Genomic DNA, 14,474 nt, shown 5'->3' on the forward strand with positions numbered 1-14,474 from the left:
CAGGTCAGAACCAGAGCTTGGGGTGGGGAGGAAAATCCTGCTGAATGAGCAAGTTCTTTCTTAAAAAGCTCTCTCCAAGTCCAAAAAGACTTCAGTGGACTTAGGAGAAAGAAATTTAATACATTGCCATAGAATCGTCATTAACCAAGTTAAAGCAAAGTCCACAGCATCTTTGTCTTATAAAAGAAAGCAAAAAGGAGATGGAAAAAAAGAAATTATACTTAGGAAATCCAAACCAAACAGTGAACACTAAAGAAGAAAAACTCAAGATCATCTCTGAAAATGTGATTTTCTTCTAATCAGATTTTTCTATTAAAAACCAAGGCTGCAGGTAGAAGTAACTTTTCTGATCTTTTAAATTCTGCCATAAATGGCATAGCTGAAATGTTTGAACTGTGCTAGGATTTACCACTTTCAGCTTAAGGAAGAGTTGGACACCCTGTAAGACCCAGTGGACTATGAGGGGAAGAGTCAACCGTGGAGAGGCTGGAGGCTTCCCAGGCCGGCCTTGACCTGTGTTTGAACCTTGGTCCTAATAACTAGCAGATTGAAGCAAATTCACAGGCCTCCTGGAGAACCCATGTTGGTTTGAACTGGAGCAATCCTGGCCAAATAACTCACACTGTGCTCTTACCAGTGACCTCCCTCATTACACCCCTGTGAGGGGAGCTCTGAGCTAGCATCCTAGGTTCCCCTGCTCATTCATGGAGTAGTCTGCAGAGAAAGCTGAATGGCTCTGTCCTGCTGGGGCTGTAAGTACCTTCCAGGAGACGGGCAGAGAGAGACTTGGTTGTCCATGAGAGGTCATCTTGGAGGTATTGCGAACAAAACAGGGAATTCCTAAACTTTTAAACTCATTTTTTTGCCCTTCCAAGGTCAGGCCAGGACTTTTCCAAAGCCTCGAAACCTCTGATGTGGCGTCTTCCCTAACTGATGGAGTTTAGTGCCTAGTGGCCCTTGCATGACGTTCTCCAAGTATGGCTGTTTGACAAAGCTGCCTGTGTGCCTGGGCCAGCCAAAGATCTACCTGTTCAGTAGCCCAGAGGGACCCCTGGCATGCTTGCCTAGCCACACTTTCCTGTCTTGTCTCGTCACGCTTCTGGTTATTCTTATGAATGTAGCCTGGCCCACTGTCTTCACCAGGCTGGGATCCAAAATAAGGTCACATATCTTTTAATAGTTACATTAAAAGACTCAGTGGACACCCCTCCTTCTGCTTACCTAGGACATTGTTTCTGCCCCTAAGTTCTCCCTAAAGTGCCATCCCCAAGCAGCAATAATCTGAGCAGCCTGAGGAAGCTGTACATAGTCCTCAGTCACTCATTCTTGTTACCCACCTGTTGCCATCTGCTGGGAGGGTCGCCTTGCTGTCTCCATTGTCATCCTACCCAGAAAGCTCAGACGGGCGGAAGGAGGGCCTCTCAAAGGCCCAACAACCCCAACAGGGCCTGCATCCCATGTTCCCACAGAGTCTGGGGAAGATTCTCCTCTCCCAAGGGTCCTAGTCCCTTCAACTCATCCAGGCTCCTAGAGCTCACCCACGCGATTCTCTTAAGGCCAGTTTCCTGGGGGCCCCACCCTAGAGCAGGAGGCCTAGGTCCAAAGGGGACCCAGTGGTAGTCTCATGCTCTGGCCGCCTGGAGCCTGCCCTCCTGTGTGACCTCAGCCTGAGCCCCTGAAAGGAGAAGGCTCTCCCATTTTCTGCCCTGGGGAGACTGCCCTTTCCTTGTTGGGATGAAAGCCTTGCCTCTAACTGAACCCTTTTGAAGGCTTCCGCCCTCTGCTGGTGGAAGCTGACAGAGCAACCTTGTTGTTGCCTCTTGGGTCCTTCACTTCCTTCCCTCTTCACTCAATACCAGGACCGTTGTGCAGTTGGAAACTGTCCACCCAGGGAAGCCTGTTCCTGGGGAAAGGATTGGGTAGTGGTGAGCTCTCCTGCTTGACATGGCAGCTGCCTCTGGAGAGAGAAAGACCTTGTGAAGTCTGAGTGGCTGCCATTCTTGCAGGCTGACTTCCCAAGCTGAGCTGCTCTGTGGGTGGTCCCTGCAGGTGGTGATTAGGGCCAGAGCGCTGCTGCTGCCTGGTTCCTTGCCGTGCCTGATAGCTAGGAAGTATCTAGTGAGCATTGTTGAGGGAAGGAGCTTGTGCCTCTTGAGGGTGCTGACAAGATGGCAACACCTGAACACTGAGAGTGTCTGAGCCACAGCTGGTCATCTGGTGGCAATTACTGAGCAGGAGGCAGACGTGAGGCAGAATTTATTTACTGAAGAAAAAGAAATTATTTTGAAGGAATGACATTGGACACCTGCTGTGACAGTGATAAGGACACCGATTGCCCAGGAGACCTGGTGAAGCCACCCTTGGATTCTCTGGGGGAAATACCTCTGGCATTCCAGCGAAGGGGAAAACAAAAGATCAGGGCCACTTTGACAGAGGAGGGACAGGCAGGAAGGGCTCCCCTGGAAGCAGGTGGAGCATGAGGAAGGGCACAGAGGCCTAAGAGAGCCTGGTCTGCTCTGAACCCCTCAGGGAAGTGGACCGCGTCGGGGAGTGCATGGAGCTCTGCAGGAGCTGGAGAGTGACCCTTCCCTGTCCTGTAAGACTCCTTCTGTCTGTCCTGAGGGCCTCCCTGGCTGGCACACCCTCCCGAGCACAGGCCCACCTCTTTCCATTGCTCTGTTACTGTCCATATTTGTTCATGTGAACAACCAACCTTCAGCGAGCCTGGGCTGTGTTGAATTCACTTTCATATCTCCAAAAGCAGGAAGCCGTCAAAGGTACTAAAGAGGGAAGTGTTACCAGGTTTATGCTTCAGGAAAATAACAGCTATGTTCTAGAGAGCGGATTAGGAGAACATAGCCAAGGGAGTAGGAAGATACATTGTGTGTCAGTGTCCTTAGGAGAAGCATGAGCACAAATTACACAAGGGCAGTAGAGGGCCCGGAGGTGGCAGGGACCAGGCCTGCCTCCACCAAGGCACTGGCTGCCCACTTTGTCAGTCTTTGGAGTCTGTGTCCTCCATGATTTGGCTCCCTTCTCAGGCTGGTGGCAAGCTGGTTGCAGCAGTTCTGGCCCGCATGACCAGAAGCACTCAACAAGCATCCCCTCGTACCTCATTGGCCTCGGTTGGGTCACACATCCATTCCTGAACCAGTTTCTAGGGCCAGGAAATGCCATGCCCTGATTGGCTTAGGTTTCTTACCTCAGAGCTGTCACGTCCAGCCCTGGAGCTAGAGGTTGGGTCTGCTTCCCCCCGGACCCCCTAGAATGGGGAGCAGGACAGGGGAATGAATAGCTGAGTGAAAGTAGGCCATCCTTAGCAAGGAGGAAATGCCTGCTAGCTATGCATCCGTGTTTGCTACAGGAACCAGATGGACCCATTCATTCATCTTTTGAACCTTGTACATGGTAAGCACCTACACACCAGTAGGGACATACTTTGTGGAAACAGCATACCATCATCCTGGGTGAATTTCAGTCCTCATGAAGGATCCCCTACCCTTATCCCTACCCAGACCCTTGGCTCTCCATTCCTTGACTTCTTTTTGGATCTTGTTTTTGACCAGCCATCTCCAAGGTCAGACACACAGCCTGCTCTCTGACCATGGCCTCAGCCCCTTCAACTCCCTTATCCAGTGACTCCCACACTCCTCTCCTTGACCTCTCAGACACTACACCCAGTGATTAGCAACATGGACCATACTTCAGCTGTGCCACTTACTTGGTAATTTGGGCCAAATACTTAATAAACTCTCCTGTAACATAGAGGTAGGAACCGGCTTTGCAGGGCTCTTGCGAGGATTAAATAAGATCAGCGTGAGAGATGCTTAGGACAGAGGACGTGCTTAATAAATATTAGCTCCATTCCAGACATCTGTCACCCAGCCGCTTCCTTCTGTTTTCTTCCCATCAGCCTCTTTCCCATTTATTTCCTTCCTGTTCCCCCGTAGGTCTCCTGGTCCATATGCTGCCGTATTGTATCTCCACTCCCTTACCCCCTTATTCTTCCCTCATACCTTCCTGGCAGATATTCAGCTTGGACCAACCTAACTTTCTTCACACTAATGTCTAAGTTGCTAGAAAAAAATTAACAGTGGGACAGATGCTTGCTACAGTAACTTCAGATCCTGTGGCCTCCGAATACTCCCTGGCAATACTCCCTGGCAATCCTTATGCTCTGCCCAGGTCAACTGTTTTTCCTATTCTCCAAAGGAGCAATTTCAAACCTTCATCACTTTCCTCAAACTCCTTCCCCCATCACACTCCCCATTCTTTGCAGATAATTTGTGTCCTAATTTTCAGGAAAGAACCTAAAAAATCATACTAGGACATTCTAAATCCCCCCTGCCCAATCCACAGATCTTACTGTTATCGCTGCCCATCTTCCTTCCTCTTGCAGCCAAGAAAGGGGTTCCACTTTTGTGTTGGATCCAATCCCTTGTCATCTCAGAGACCTTGAATCTGCAGTTCTCTCTGTCTCTCTTAATGTCTTCTACTCCACCATCCATAGTGCCTTCTTCCTGTCAGCATTGAAACAAGTCTCTGTCATCTTTAAATATACTCCCTTCAAACACCTTCAGTACACTCTCACATCCTCTCATCCTTTCCCATTCCATTTCATGAATCTTGCCTCTTCCCTAGCACTGTCTAATTTGCTAAAAGAGTTGTATTCACTCATGATTGCCATTTCCTGGCTTTCTATTCGTTTTTCAACCTGTCACCCCGATCTCTGCCCCCAGCACTCCCTGCAAGAGTCTTTTCTGATAGATCCAAAGGATTCCTTGTTTGGGAATGTTCTCTGTTACTTGACCTCTTAGAAGGATTTAACGCTGCTGACTATGCCCTCCTTGAGGCATGTTCTCTCTTTGGCTTCTATAATGTCAGAACTCAGAACTCCATAGCCACTCCCCAGTTTCTGTTGTCCAGCTCTTAAATACAGGTGTTTCTCAGGATTCTATCCAGGGCTCTCTTATCCCTTCAGGTTACAATCTTGCTTATAAACTTCAGAACTGTATGTTCAGCAGCCTACTGGCCATCTCCACTAGATGCCTCCCAGGTATGTTAGAATCCGCAATCTCAGATTGAACTCAAACTCTTCTCCCAAACCTGTTTTTCTTCCTTGTCAGGGTGAGTAGCAATAGCATCTGCCCTGCAGCCTGAGCCAGAGAATCCTGAACACTTGTTGACTCTTCCCTCTCTCACTGACTTTATCTCCAGACCATCACCAAGTCCTGTAATGCTGGTGAGGTGAAAGGAGCATGGATTTTGGTTAAAATTCCAGTTCTAATTGTGGTTTGCTCAAACTACTTAATCTTTCTCAGCCTCAAGTTCCTCATCTGTTTAAAGGAAATAGCAATACCTAATTTAAGTGGTTTTTGTCAGGATAAAGGAAAGCCTTTACTTGGTAGGTGATATGGTTTGGCTCTGTGTCCCCACTCAAATCTCACCTTGAATTTTAGTAATCCCTCATGTTGTGGGAGGGACCCAGTGGGAAGTAATTGAATTATGGGGGTGGGCTTTCCCTGTGCTGTTCTCGTGGTAGTGAATAAGCCTCACAGGATCTGATGGTTTTGTAAATGGGAGTTTCCCTGCACAAGCCCTCTTGCCTCTCGCCACGTAAGACTTGCCTTTGCTTCTCCTTTGCCTTCCACCATGATTGTGAGGCCTCCCCAGCCATGTGGAACTGTGAGTCCATTAAACCTCTTTCCTTTATAAATTACCCAGTCTCAGGTATGTATTTATTAGCAGTGTGAGAACAGACTAATACAGTAGGCATTCAATAAATGTGAGTCCTCCATTTAGTAAACATGACTGCTCTTCTGTTCCAGTCCTCTCTCTCCCCTACCCTATCACCACCTCTGCTGACTTGCCTTATTGTTGAGTTGGTGTGAACATAGTTTCCTGACTTTGAGACTCCCCCTGCAATTAGATTTCCCATAGTTCCTTCATGACTAAGGACTAAGTGCTGGTCACCACAGCATTGTGTGGGGTCTGGGAGGCAGATGCCAGATGTTACTGGCACATAATTAGATGTGTATGTACTTCCAAGTCTTGTCTCTTAGCTGTCTCCAACGCCACTGCACCTCCGTAAGCCAAATCCTCATCATCTCATTGGGCTACTGCAGCAGCCCCCTCTAAGGCATTTCTCTATGCCCTCTCTCACTTCAGCCCTTCTCTACCTGACCATCAGAGCTGGTCTTTCTGCCCTGAAACCTGCCATGGCTTCTCTCTTCTGGTGAAGTGAAGTTCACACACTCCTACGTGCAGCCTGCCTTGCCAGCTCATCTCCCTTGCATGCCTGTGCCAGCCCAGTGGCTAAGTCCTCTCTGACCCAGTGACACCTTTCATGATAAGGGAGCAAGAAGGATGCTTAGATACTGATTGAGAAGCTGAATACTATACTTCTTGGGTCTAGTGGCTAGTAGGACAGGCATAAGACACTCAGCTAAGACCAGCTGTCCAGAAAACTGGGACCAAAAGACACAGGAAACCCAGGAGGGCTTAGAATTCTGTAAGAATCACCAGTCATAAAATAAGGAGGAAAACCTATTAGTCTTCTGTCAAAGCAGTGTATGCTTATGAAGAATTTGGAAAATGCAAAGAAAGTAATCACCTGGAACCTCTCAGCTAGTGATAGGCACTGTTGCTGTTTAGGTATGTTCCTTCCAAGTCTTTTTTTTTTTTTTTTTTTGAGACAGACTCTCGCTATGTCGCCCAGGCTGGAATGCAGTGGCAAAATCTGGGCTCACTGCAACCTCCACCCGCCAGGTTCAAACGATTCTCGTGTCTCAGCCTCCTGAGTAGCTGGGACTACAGGTGCGTGCCACCACACCCAGCTAATTTTTTGTATTTTACTAGAGATGGGGTTTTACCATGTTGCCCAGGCTGGTCTCCTGAGCTCAGGCAATCCACCCGCCTCGGCCTCCCAAAGTGCTAGGATTATAGGCATGAGCCACCACATCTGGCCTCAGTCTTTCTTCTAGGAAGTCTTTGTCCTTTTTTACATAGTCTTCATGGTACACTGTATAATCAAGTGTGCATCCTGCTTTATCTCATCTGTCCAACCTATTTTTCCTGGGTTAGTAAAAATTCTCCCTAAGCCATGTAACAACTACCTGCTATTCCATGTGTGACTATAGCATAGTTTGTTTAACCTTTTGCCACTGCTGGACTTTTTAGTCTTTCCAATAAATAACACTGGGGGGAACAGTTTTGCAAATAAAACTTTTCTTCCTACATTTCTGATGATTTTTCTAAGCTATAAATTCATAACTTAAATCACTGAGTCAAATCATATGAAAATTTCTAAGCAATGCAGACTCAAAATGGACAGAATGAATATAGACCTGACCTCAGCTGCAAAGAGAGAGGTAAAGAGAAAAGGGTTGTAACTAATAGATGCTTTTAAAATTATGTTTTACTTCACAAAGGAGAGGGCTGGGAAGATTCAAGTGGTGCTCTGTAGGGCAAACATGCCTTTGACTTGAAGTTCTGGCTTCATGATGGTCGAGAAGGGCTTGTTTCTGCTTTTGTGTTTTCATCTGGGTCAGTTAGAGGACAAACCATTCCTGTGAGTTCCTTTCCCACTAAGGAAGAGAAAAATCGTCCAGTATCTAATGATGCAGATCATTAGCTGTGTTCGCAGCCTTGTAGTTAAAAAAAAAATTATAATAATGTATCCTCCTAATGTGCAGTTAATTTTAGTTAAAATCTCCCTAGTGCTTTAAAAACCCAGTGAATTTATAAACATAGTAGTTGGCTTGCATTTGGAATGTTAAAGCTGTCATAACCAACTGGCTCTAGCAGGGCATGCTGCACCTCCTTGAGCTCTGTTGGAAGTTCAGCACTCACCTGAGCACTGCCCTCTGGAATCCAGAAAGAAACCAAGACTTTCCCAGAGTTCCTGTTCCTGATCTTCCATAACTGAAGAAAGCTAATGAGTGTCTCAAAGTTAACATGTCCAAAGTCAAACCTTTGACTCCCTATCAGTCCCCAAATTCAGTCTTTCTCTCAGCAGTGGATCAGCCACCTGACTGGTGATTCAGATTCAAAATCTTGAACCGTCCTTGAGTTCTTCCTTTCTTTCCTTACCACTGCCAACATCAAATCCACCAGCATATCTTGTTGATTCGACTTCTAAAATGTACCTCAAATTGTCCATTTCTCTCACTCTATCCCAGCCCCCCTGGCCGCTCCCCTGACTGTAGTGGCTGCCTCCTGCAGGATGTTGCTTCTGCTCTGTGGTCTGTGGTCTGCAGTCTGCACTGTAGCCAGAGGGGTCTTGCCAAAATAGAATTCTGATTACCTCATCTACTCCTTCTTTTTCTTTTCTTCGCTGTTAAGGTAAAGGCCAAAAATTCCAGTGTGGCCAAGAAGGTCCTCCCCAGAGTCACCCACCATGTCCCTGGATCTATCAGCGCCCAACTTCACCAGCCATCCTGCAGCTCCTGCCCCAGGGCTTCTGCACTCACTGTGCTCTCTCCTCAGGAGAACCCTCTCCACTCCCCATCCCTCCTCCTCCTGATTCAGAGGAGCCTTCCCTTCTACCCATTCTATCCAGGTCAGGCTCTTCACTTTCATGGAAACATGGGGATTTTTTTCTTGCTTCAGAGAGCCTATTTTAATTTGAAGTTCTACACATATATGCACATTCATTGGTGTGATCATTTGATTGCTGTCAGTCTTCTCTGCTAGACGGTAAGACCCATGAAAAGAGTCTGCTGTCACTGTTCTTTCCCTCTCAGCTAGCTCATGTCTAGCACAAGATAGGTGCTTAATAAACGTATTGGTTGCATGCTGAATGAACAAGTAGAGTCTTGCTGACAGTCATCATTGATGATGGGGTCCTTGTAAGGTGTGGGCTCTTCCCAGAGTGGGCAGGCCCAGGTTCTCCACAACACATTGACTTGAGGGAGTGTGACTTCGTTTGATTTTATTTTTTTCATTTCAGCTATTGGAATGAATAGAGCATGCTGCCTAAAACTTCTTTTTCTCTTCTCTCTCTCTTCAGCTAAAGCTTGCTTTCACTCTGGACCACGAGACCGGATTGCCTCAAGGATGTCATATCTATGAGTACCGCGAGAGCAACAAGTAAGCCACTCAGTGGGAAAGAGTGTCACTTCACATGTGTGCAGCAGTGGTGCCTGTGGGCTTTCTGACACTGAGCTTCCATTGCTAAGTGGTTGTCAGGAAGGGAATACACCTTTTACTACTATACTAGAAAATAGCTGGCACAGAAATAGTCCTCTTGTAAGATCTCTTTGCCCCTAAGTATAGAACTTGGAGCACTTGCAGAGGAGCAGTTGTGGTGTGTTAGAAGTAGATGCTGAAGCAGACCTTCTTTCAAGGCTGCAGATGTCCCCCAGACCCTCCCCACTCTTGGTCTCCAGTCATGTGCCTGCTTGTTTGGTTCACTGTGTGACTTTGGCTTTGTTGTAGTTCTCAGTCACTATCTGCCTATACTTAGGTTTATGGGTTTTGTTGTGATTATCTACCTTGTAAATTTTATATTAATGGTTGGGAGATTTCCGGGTACTTACAGAGATTTAAATTGGTGCCCTTGTTGGAAAGGTGGCACCTTGCATACTTTCATAGCACCTCCTTTCCACATCATAGACTGCTCCTTTTTTTTTTTTTTTTTTTTGAGACAGGGTCTTGCTCTGTCACCTGGGCTAGAGTGCAGTGATAGAATCGTGGCTCACTGCAGCCCAAAACTCCCGGGCTCAAGTGATCCTCCCACCTGTTTCCCGAGTACCTGGTACTACAGGTGCACACCACCATGCCCAGCTAATTTTCTAAATTTTTAGTACAGACAGGGTCTCCCTATGTTGCCCTGGTTGGTCTTGAACTCCTGAGCTCAAGCGATTCTCCCACCTCAGCCTCCCAAAGTGCTGGGATTACAGGTATGAGCCACCACACCCAGCCACAGACTGCCTCCTTGACTGTGTATTTTCGTTTGTGAGACAGTGAAAGTGGTGGTGAATGAGGCACAGGAACTGTGCCCCGATGATGACAATGATGGTAATGACAGCGGCTACCATTGAGCACCTCCTATGTGTTAGGCACAGTACTGGGGACTTTACATTTGTTATCTCATTTAATCTTCATAACAACCCCGGTGTGTTATTTTATTATTGTCATATTTGCAGAAGCTAAGGTCTAGGGAACTAAAGTAATTCACTCAGGGTGACTCACCACGGCTGTGAGAAGCAGAGTCAACATTATCATGTTTACTCTGGGGAGAGAATAGAAGGAAAACAAGTGACCCGTATTTTTACTTAGAAACCCCAGTCAATGACAAGAGCAGTCCCATCCTGGACTTAAGGAGAATGTACTCTGGTCTCATTGTCTAAATATCCAGGCTGTTTAATTTTATTCAGTGGAAGGAAACAAATAGGCACATGCCAGTAGAACTGTCTACTGTCTATGACCTTCCAGAAGAGAAACCTGGGCCTTCCTCAAGACCTCTGGTGCTGTTTAGGGTAGAAGAGAGGCTACCGGGTGCCCTCGTTACCACATCTCCACTGGGATTACCTTCAAGACATGATGACTGTTTGTAATTTATCTTTAGGAGAATGCCATAGTAACTGGTGTGTACCCCTAATTAATCATAGGAAGGATTGACCAGACATCCTTTAACAATTCTTGCTGGACTCTCTGCTCTTTGGGAAAAGGTTGAAGAGTATTTATTCAATGGGAGAAGGACACCAGCTCTCTGTCCTTTAAGTTTATGTCTTAGCTGTTCACATATCTGGTGGCAACAACTTATGTTGTCTTTGACTGTGAGAAGAGAAAATAGCCTAGCTCTTTTTTTTTTTTTTTTTTTTTTTAATAGAAACAGTGTCTCATGATGTTCCCTAGGCTGGTCTTGAACTCCTGAGCTCAAGCCATCCTCTTGCCTCAGCCTTCCAAAGTGCTGAGATTACAGGTGTGAGTCATCATGCCCAGCCTAGCTCTGTGTCTTGGTTGATCCATAGCTCCTAGCATATTATCAGACCAAGCAATGTAAGAAGATAACTTAGGGTTTATAAATATGAATAAGTTTTGGCCCCCAAAGACCTCTAAAAGAAAATACTTGTGTAGGAAATCAGATAGGAGCCATGATCTAGAAAAGTATGGTGATCAGCATGTTCTCACTCATAGGTGGGAACTGAACAATGAGAACACTTGGACACAGGAAGGGGAACATCATACACCGGGGCCTGTAGTGGAGTGGGGGGAGTGGGGAGGGATAGCATTAGGAGATATACCTAAAGTAAATGATGAGTTAATGGGTGCAGCACATCAACATGGCACATGTATACATATGTAACAAACCTGCATGTTGTGCACATGTACCCTAGAACTTAAAGTATAATAATTAAAAAAAAAAGGAAAAGAAAAAAGTATGGTGATCAAATGCTTTGGTGACTGCTTTCTCTGGTTCTCTCTTGCTTGTATTAGAGTCAGTCTTAGGGTTCATTCTCAATCTTTAGACAACTTTCCTAACCTCTCTGAGCCTCTAGTTTCATTTATTTTCTTCTTCTTCTTTTTTTTTTTTTTCTATTTTTTGAGATAGTCTTGCTTTTGTCACCCAGCCTGGAGTGCAATTGCATGATCTCAGCTCACTGCACCCTCCGCCTCCTGGGTTCAAGTGATTCTCCTGCCTCAGCCTCCCGAATAGCTGGGATTACAGGTGCCTGCCACCACACCTAGCTAAATTTTGTATTTTTAGTAGAGATGGGGTTTCACCATATTGGCGAGGCTGGTCTTGAATTCCTGATCTAGGTGATCCACCTGCCTTGGCCCCCCAAAGTGCTGGGATTATAGTCGTGAGCCACCACGCCCGGCCTGAGCCTCTAGTTTCTTCATCTATAGGATGAAGTAGGATTAATAGTAGGATTAATTATTAATTGTTAATTAATTATTAATAGTAGGATTAATAATACCTCTCTGGCAGGGTTGCATGGGGCTCTCTGGCCGGGATATCATGTTGAAGTGTGTCATCACCAGTCTCACATATAGAATGCCCATAGGAAGTGCTTGTTGCCTCTTCTTCCCAAAGAGAAAAACTGGCTCATGACTTCCATCTTCCCAGAAAGTCTTCTGCCAACAGTGTACTCATGAGGGAAGAGGCTGGTGTGCCTGCCGTTCACAGCCTTTGGTTGTGTACGACGCTCTGTCAAAGGCAGACTCCTCACTCATGAGTTATGAAGCACGGAGGACCCCAAAATCCTGACTATGATTTATTGTCTCCCCCAGACCCTTCCCTGTTTGTGTTCCTCTGTTTCCATTTAGGGTCATTTTCCCTACAATGCCTGAATCCAAATATTGGCATAATAGTGTTATTTAGGAAATGAAGATACTCAGCCCAGACCCTTAAGGGGCCCATGTTGTCTCAGGCTAAGTAACATGAAGACAATACCAGCAGAGAGAGGAAATTCTACAGATGAAAAAGCTAGCTTGAGTATTAGTTTGGTACAACTGATTATTGAAACTACTGCCTTTCCTTTTTGGATATTCCCTGCAGTACAATTTGTAATCACTTTAGCATTCATCTCTGTTTGCCAAATTCAATCCATCAGCAGAAAAAGTTGTTCTGAATAAGTGCTGAGGCTGTTGGATGGTTCTCCCAAATAGTCTTTCCTTTCAAATGGAATGGCCCGGAAAATGGGCACTCCATTTTTATATTTTCTGGATTCTTTTATCAGCCCTCCATTAACGGGATTCAGTATCAAAAGCAGGTAAAGTTTTCTGCAACAGAGAAGAAGAATGTGGCCCTCGGGTCCATGGGTGGTGCCTGATAATTTTGATCCTTGGCTCTCTGTCATCCTGTTCTCCTTTCACATAAAGGGGCTAATCTCTACCTCTGGGGTCCAGGGAGGACAGTCCCTAGGACTTGTCCATTTCTCATGGGACTTGGACCCTGCCTTCTCTAAGGCTAGAGGCACAGCTGTCGGGTAAACATTCTTAAAGCTCTGAGGTCATTAGAAGAAAGAGAGAAGCTGTCCTATGGTGCCTTGGGTTCAACTAGTAAAGCTCTCCACCCTGAATTATTCTGTCAGCCTCCCAAAAGCTGCTCCAGTCTGCATCTGGAGGTGTGAGGCCTCACACCCCCTGGCAGATGCCACCGTGGGTCTACGGGTGGTGACTGGTTTTTTTTTTTTCTCTGTTGCAGAAAACTTTACCTGTCTTTAACACTAAATCCAGTTAATCAAGGAGTGATCGAGAGTCATTTTTGTCAAATTGAAGTTTGGAGATCTCTGGATATAGGGCAAGGAACAAGACCTTCAGGAGTGAATAAGTGATTTGTGAGAATTCAGTTACACATTTATGAAGCCCCTGCTCTGTACAGTGTGTTACATGGGGGAGGCAAAGATACGTTAGACCCAGTGCATGCCCTCAGGGTTTGTATAAGGAGCAAAGCGCACTCCAGCACCCTGTGGGATGATATGCACTTTGGCAGTGGTAGGAATCGAGTGCTATGGCAGCAACGATGAGGAAAGTGAATGCTTCCGACTTTGGAGTTACTGTGTGGATGGTGGTGACCTTCACAGACAAGGAGCTTTGTCAGAAGGCTCCTTTCTCTCCATCCCCACGGCTACCCTCCTTCTCACTGCCAGGACTGTGGAGCTGCTTTGCAAGCTATTCTTCCTGCCGTTAGCTGGTTGGCCTCCCGGCTGTCCTCTCTGCAGCCTGAGTGAGTGTGTGTGTCTTTTCCTTCTGGTTGCTTTTTAGACCTTATTTTTGTCTTTGGCATTCTGCAGTTTTACTACATTATGTCTGAGTGGATTCATTTTTATTTATATTGTTTAGGACTCAATATAGTTCTCATTTAGAAATTTTTATCTATTATCTTTGATTCTCTTTGGTTCTCTCTAATCTCTCCTTCTGGAACTTGTTAGAAACCATCTTATTTCATCTTTCCTCTCTTTTTTCTATTTCTGTATCTGTTAATGCTGCATTGTAGGCAACTTCCTCAAAAGTGTCTGTCACTTTATTCTCCTTGTAGCAGTTTACTATCGGCTGCTTAATAACCCTTCCCAATATGAATATTTGGTTTTTATTTTATTTTATTTATTTTTTGAGATGGAGTCTCGCTCTGTCACCCAGGCTGGAGTGCAGTGGCGCAAACTCAGCTCACTGCAACCTGCACCACCTGGGTTCAAGTGATTCTCTTGCCTCAGCCTCCTGAGTAGCTGGGATTACAGGCGCGCACCACCACGCAGGGCTAATTTTTTTGTATTTTTAGTAGAGATGGGATTTCGCCATGTTGGCCAGGCTGGTCTCAAACTCCTAACCTCAGGTGATCTGCCCAACTCAGCCTCCCAAAGTGCTGGGGTTACAGGCGTGAGCCACCACGCCTGTCCTCATGTTTGGTTTTTATATTTAATTTTCAGAAGTTCTGTTTGGTGCTTTTGAAAATCCGCCTATTACTATTAATTAATTTTTTTGGTGTCCTAGTCTTCTGTTATGATTTCTATTCTTTCTTTTAT

General features: G+C 45.9%; 1 protein-coding gene across 4 annotated transcripts in view, besides 3 other annotated features; it reads left to right on the top strand.

Moving 5' to 3' along the window:
* Positions 1–14,474, top strand: part of DIS3L2 (DIS3 like 3'-5' exoribonuclease 2) — a 382,638-nt gene that overhangs the window by 329,317 nt on the left and 38,847 nt on the right. For 3 of the 4 annotated variants that reach the window (NR_046477.2, NR_046476.2, NM_152383.5), the window contains one exon: positions 9,011–9,090. The exons of the other annotated variant lie outside the window; for it this stretch is intronic. Coding sequence is in view for 1 of the 3 variants with exons in the window: in NM_152383.5 (NP_689596.4) it covers positions 9,011–9,090 (80 nt within the window). In the remaining 2 variants the exon portion in view is untranslated. The remainder of the gene's footprint in view (positions 1–9,010; positions 9,091–14,474) is intronic. 4 annotated transcript variants of the gene reach the window in all.
* Positions 1,080–1,803: an enhancer, noted in NCBI's record as "NANOG-H3K4me1 hESC enhancer chr2:233156819-233157542 (GRCh37/hg19 assembly coordinates)". NCBI's record gives its function as "activates a minimal SCP1, AML or CMV promoter by ChIP-STARR-seq in naive H9 embryonic stem cells {active_cell/tissue: H9 hESC(naive)}" and the evidence as "EXISTENCE:reporter gene assay evidence [ECO:0000049][PMID:30033119]".
* Positions 1,705–1,794: a silencer, noted in NCBI's record as "silent region_12458". NCBI's record gives its function as "represses an Ori minimal core promoter by ATAC-STARR-seq in GM12878 lymphoblastoid cells {active_cell/tissue: GM12878}" and the evidence as "EXISTENCE:reporter gene assay evidence [ECO:0000049][PMID:35858748]".
* Positions 1,804–2,525: an enhancer, noted in NCBI's record as "NANOG-H3K4me1 hESC enhancer chr2:233157543-233158264 (GRCh37/hg19 assembly coordinates)". NCBI's record gives its function as "activates a minimal SCP1, AML or CMV promoter by ChIP-STARR-seq in naive H9 embryonic stem cells {active_cell/tissue: H9 hESC(naive)}" and the evidence as "EXISTENCE:reporter gene assay evidence [ECO:0000049][PMID:30033119]".

The sequence above is a fragment of the Homo sapiens genome, chromosome 2, assembly GCF_000001405.40.
Source record: "Homo sapiens chromosome 2, GRCh38.p14 Primary Assembly".
NCBI lineage: Eukaryota > Metazoa > Chordata > Mammalia > Primates > Hominidae > Homo > Homo sapiens.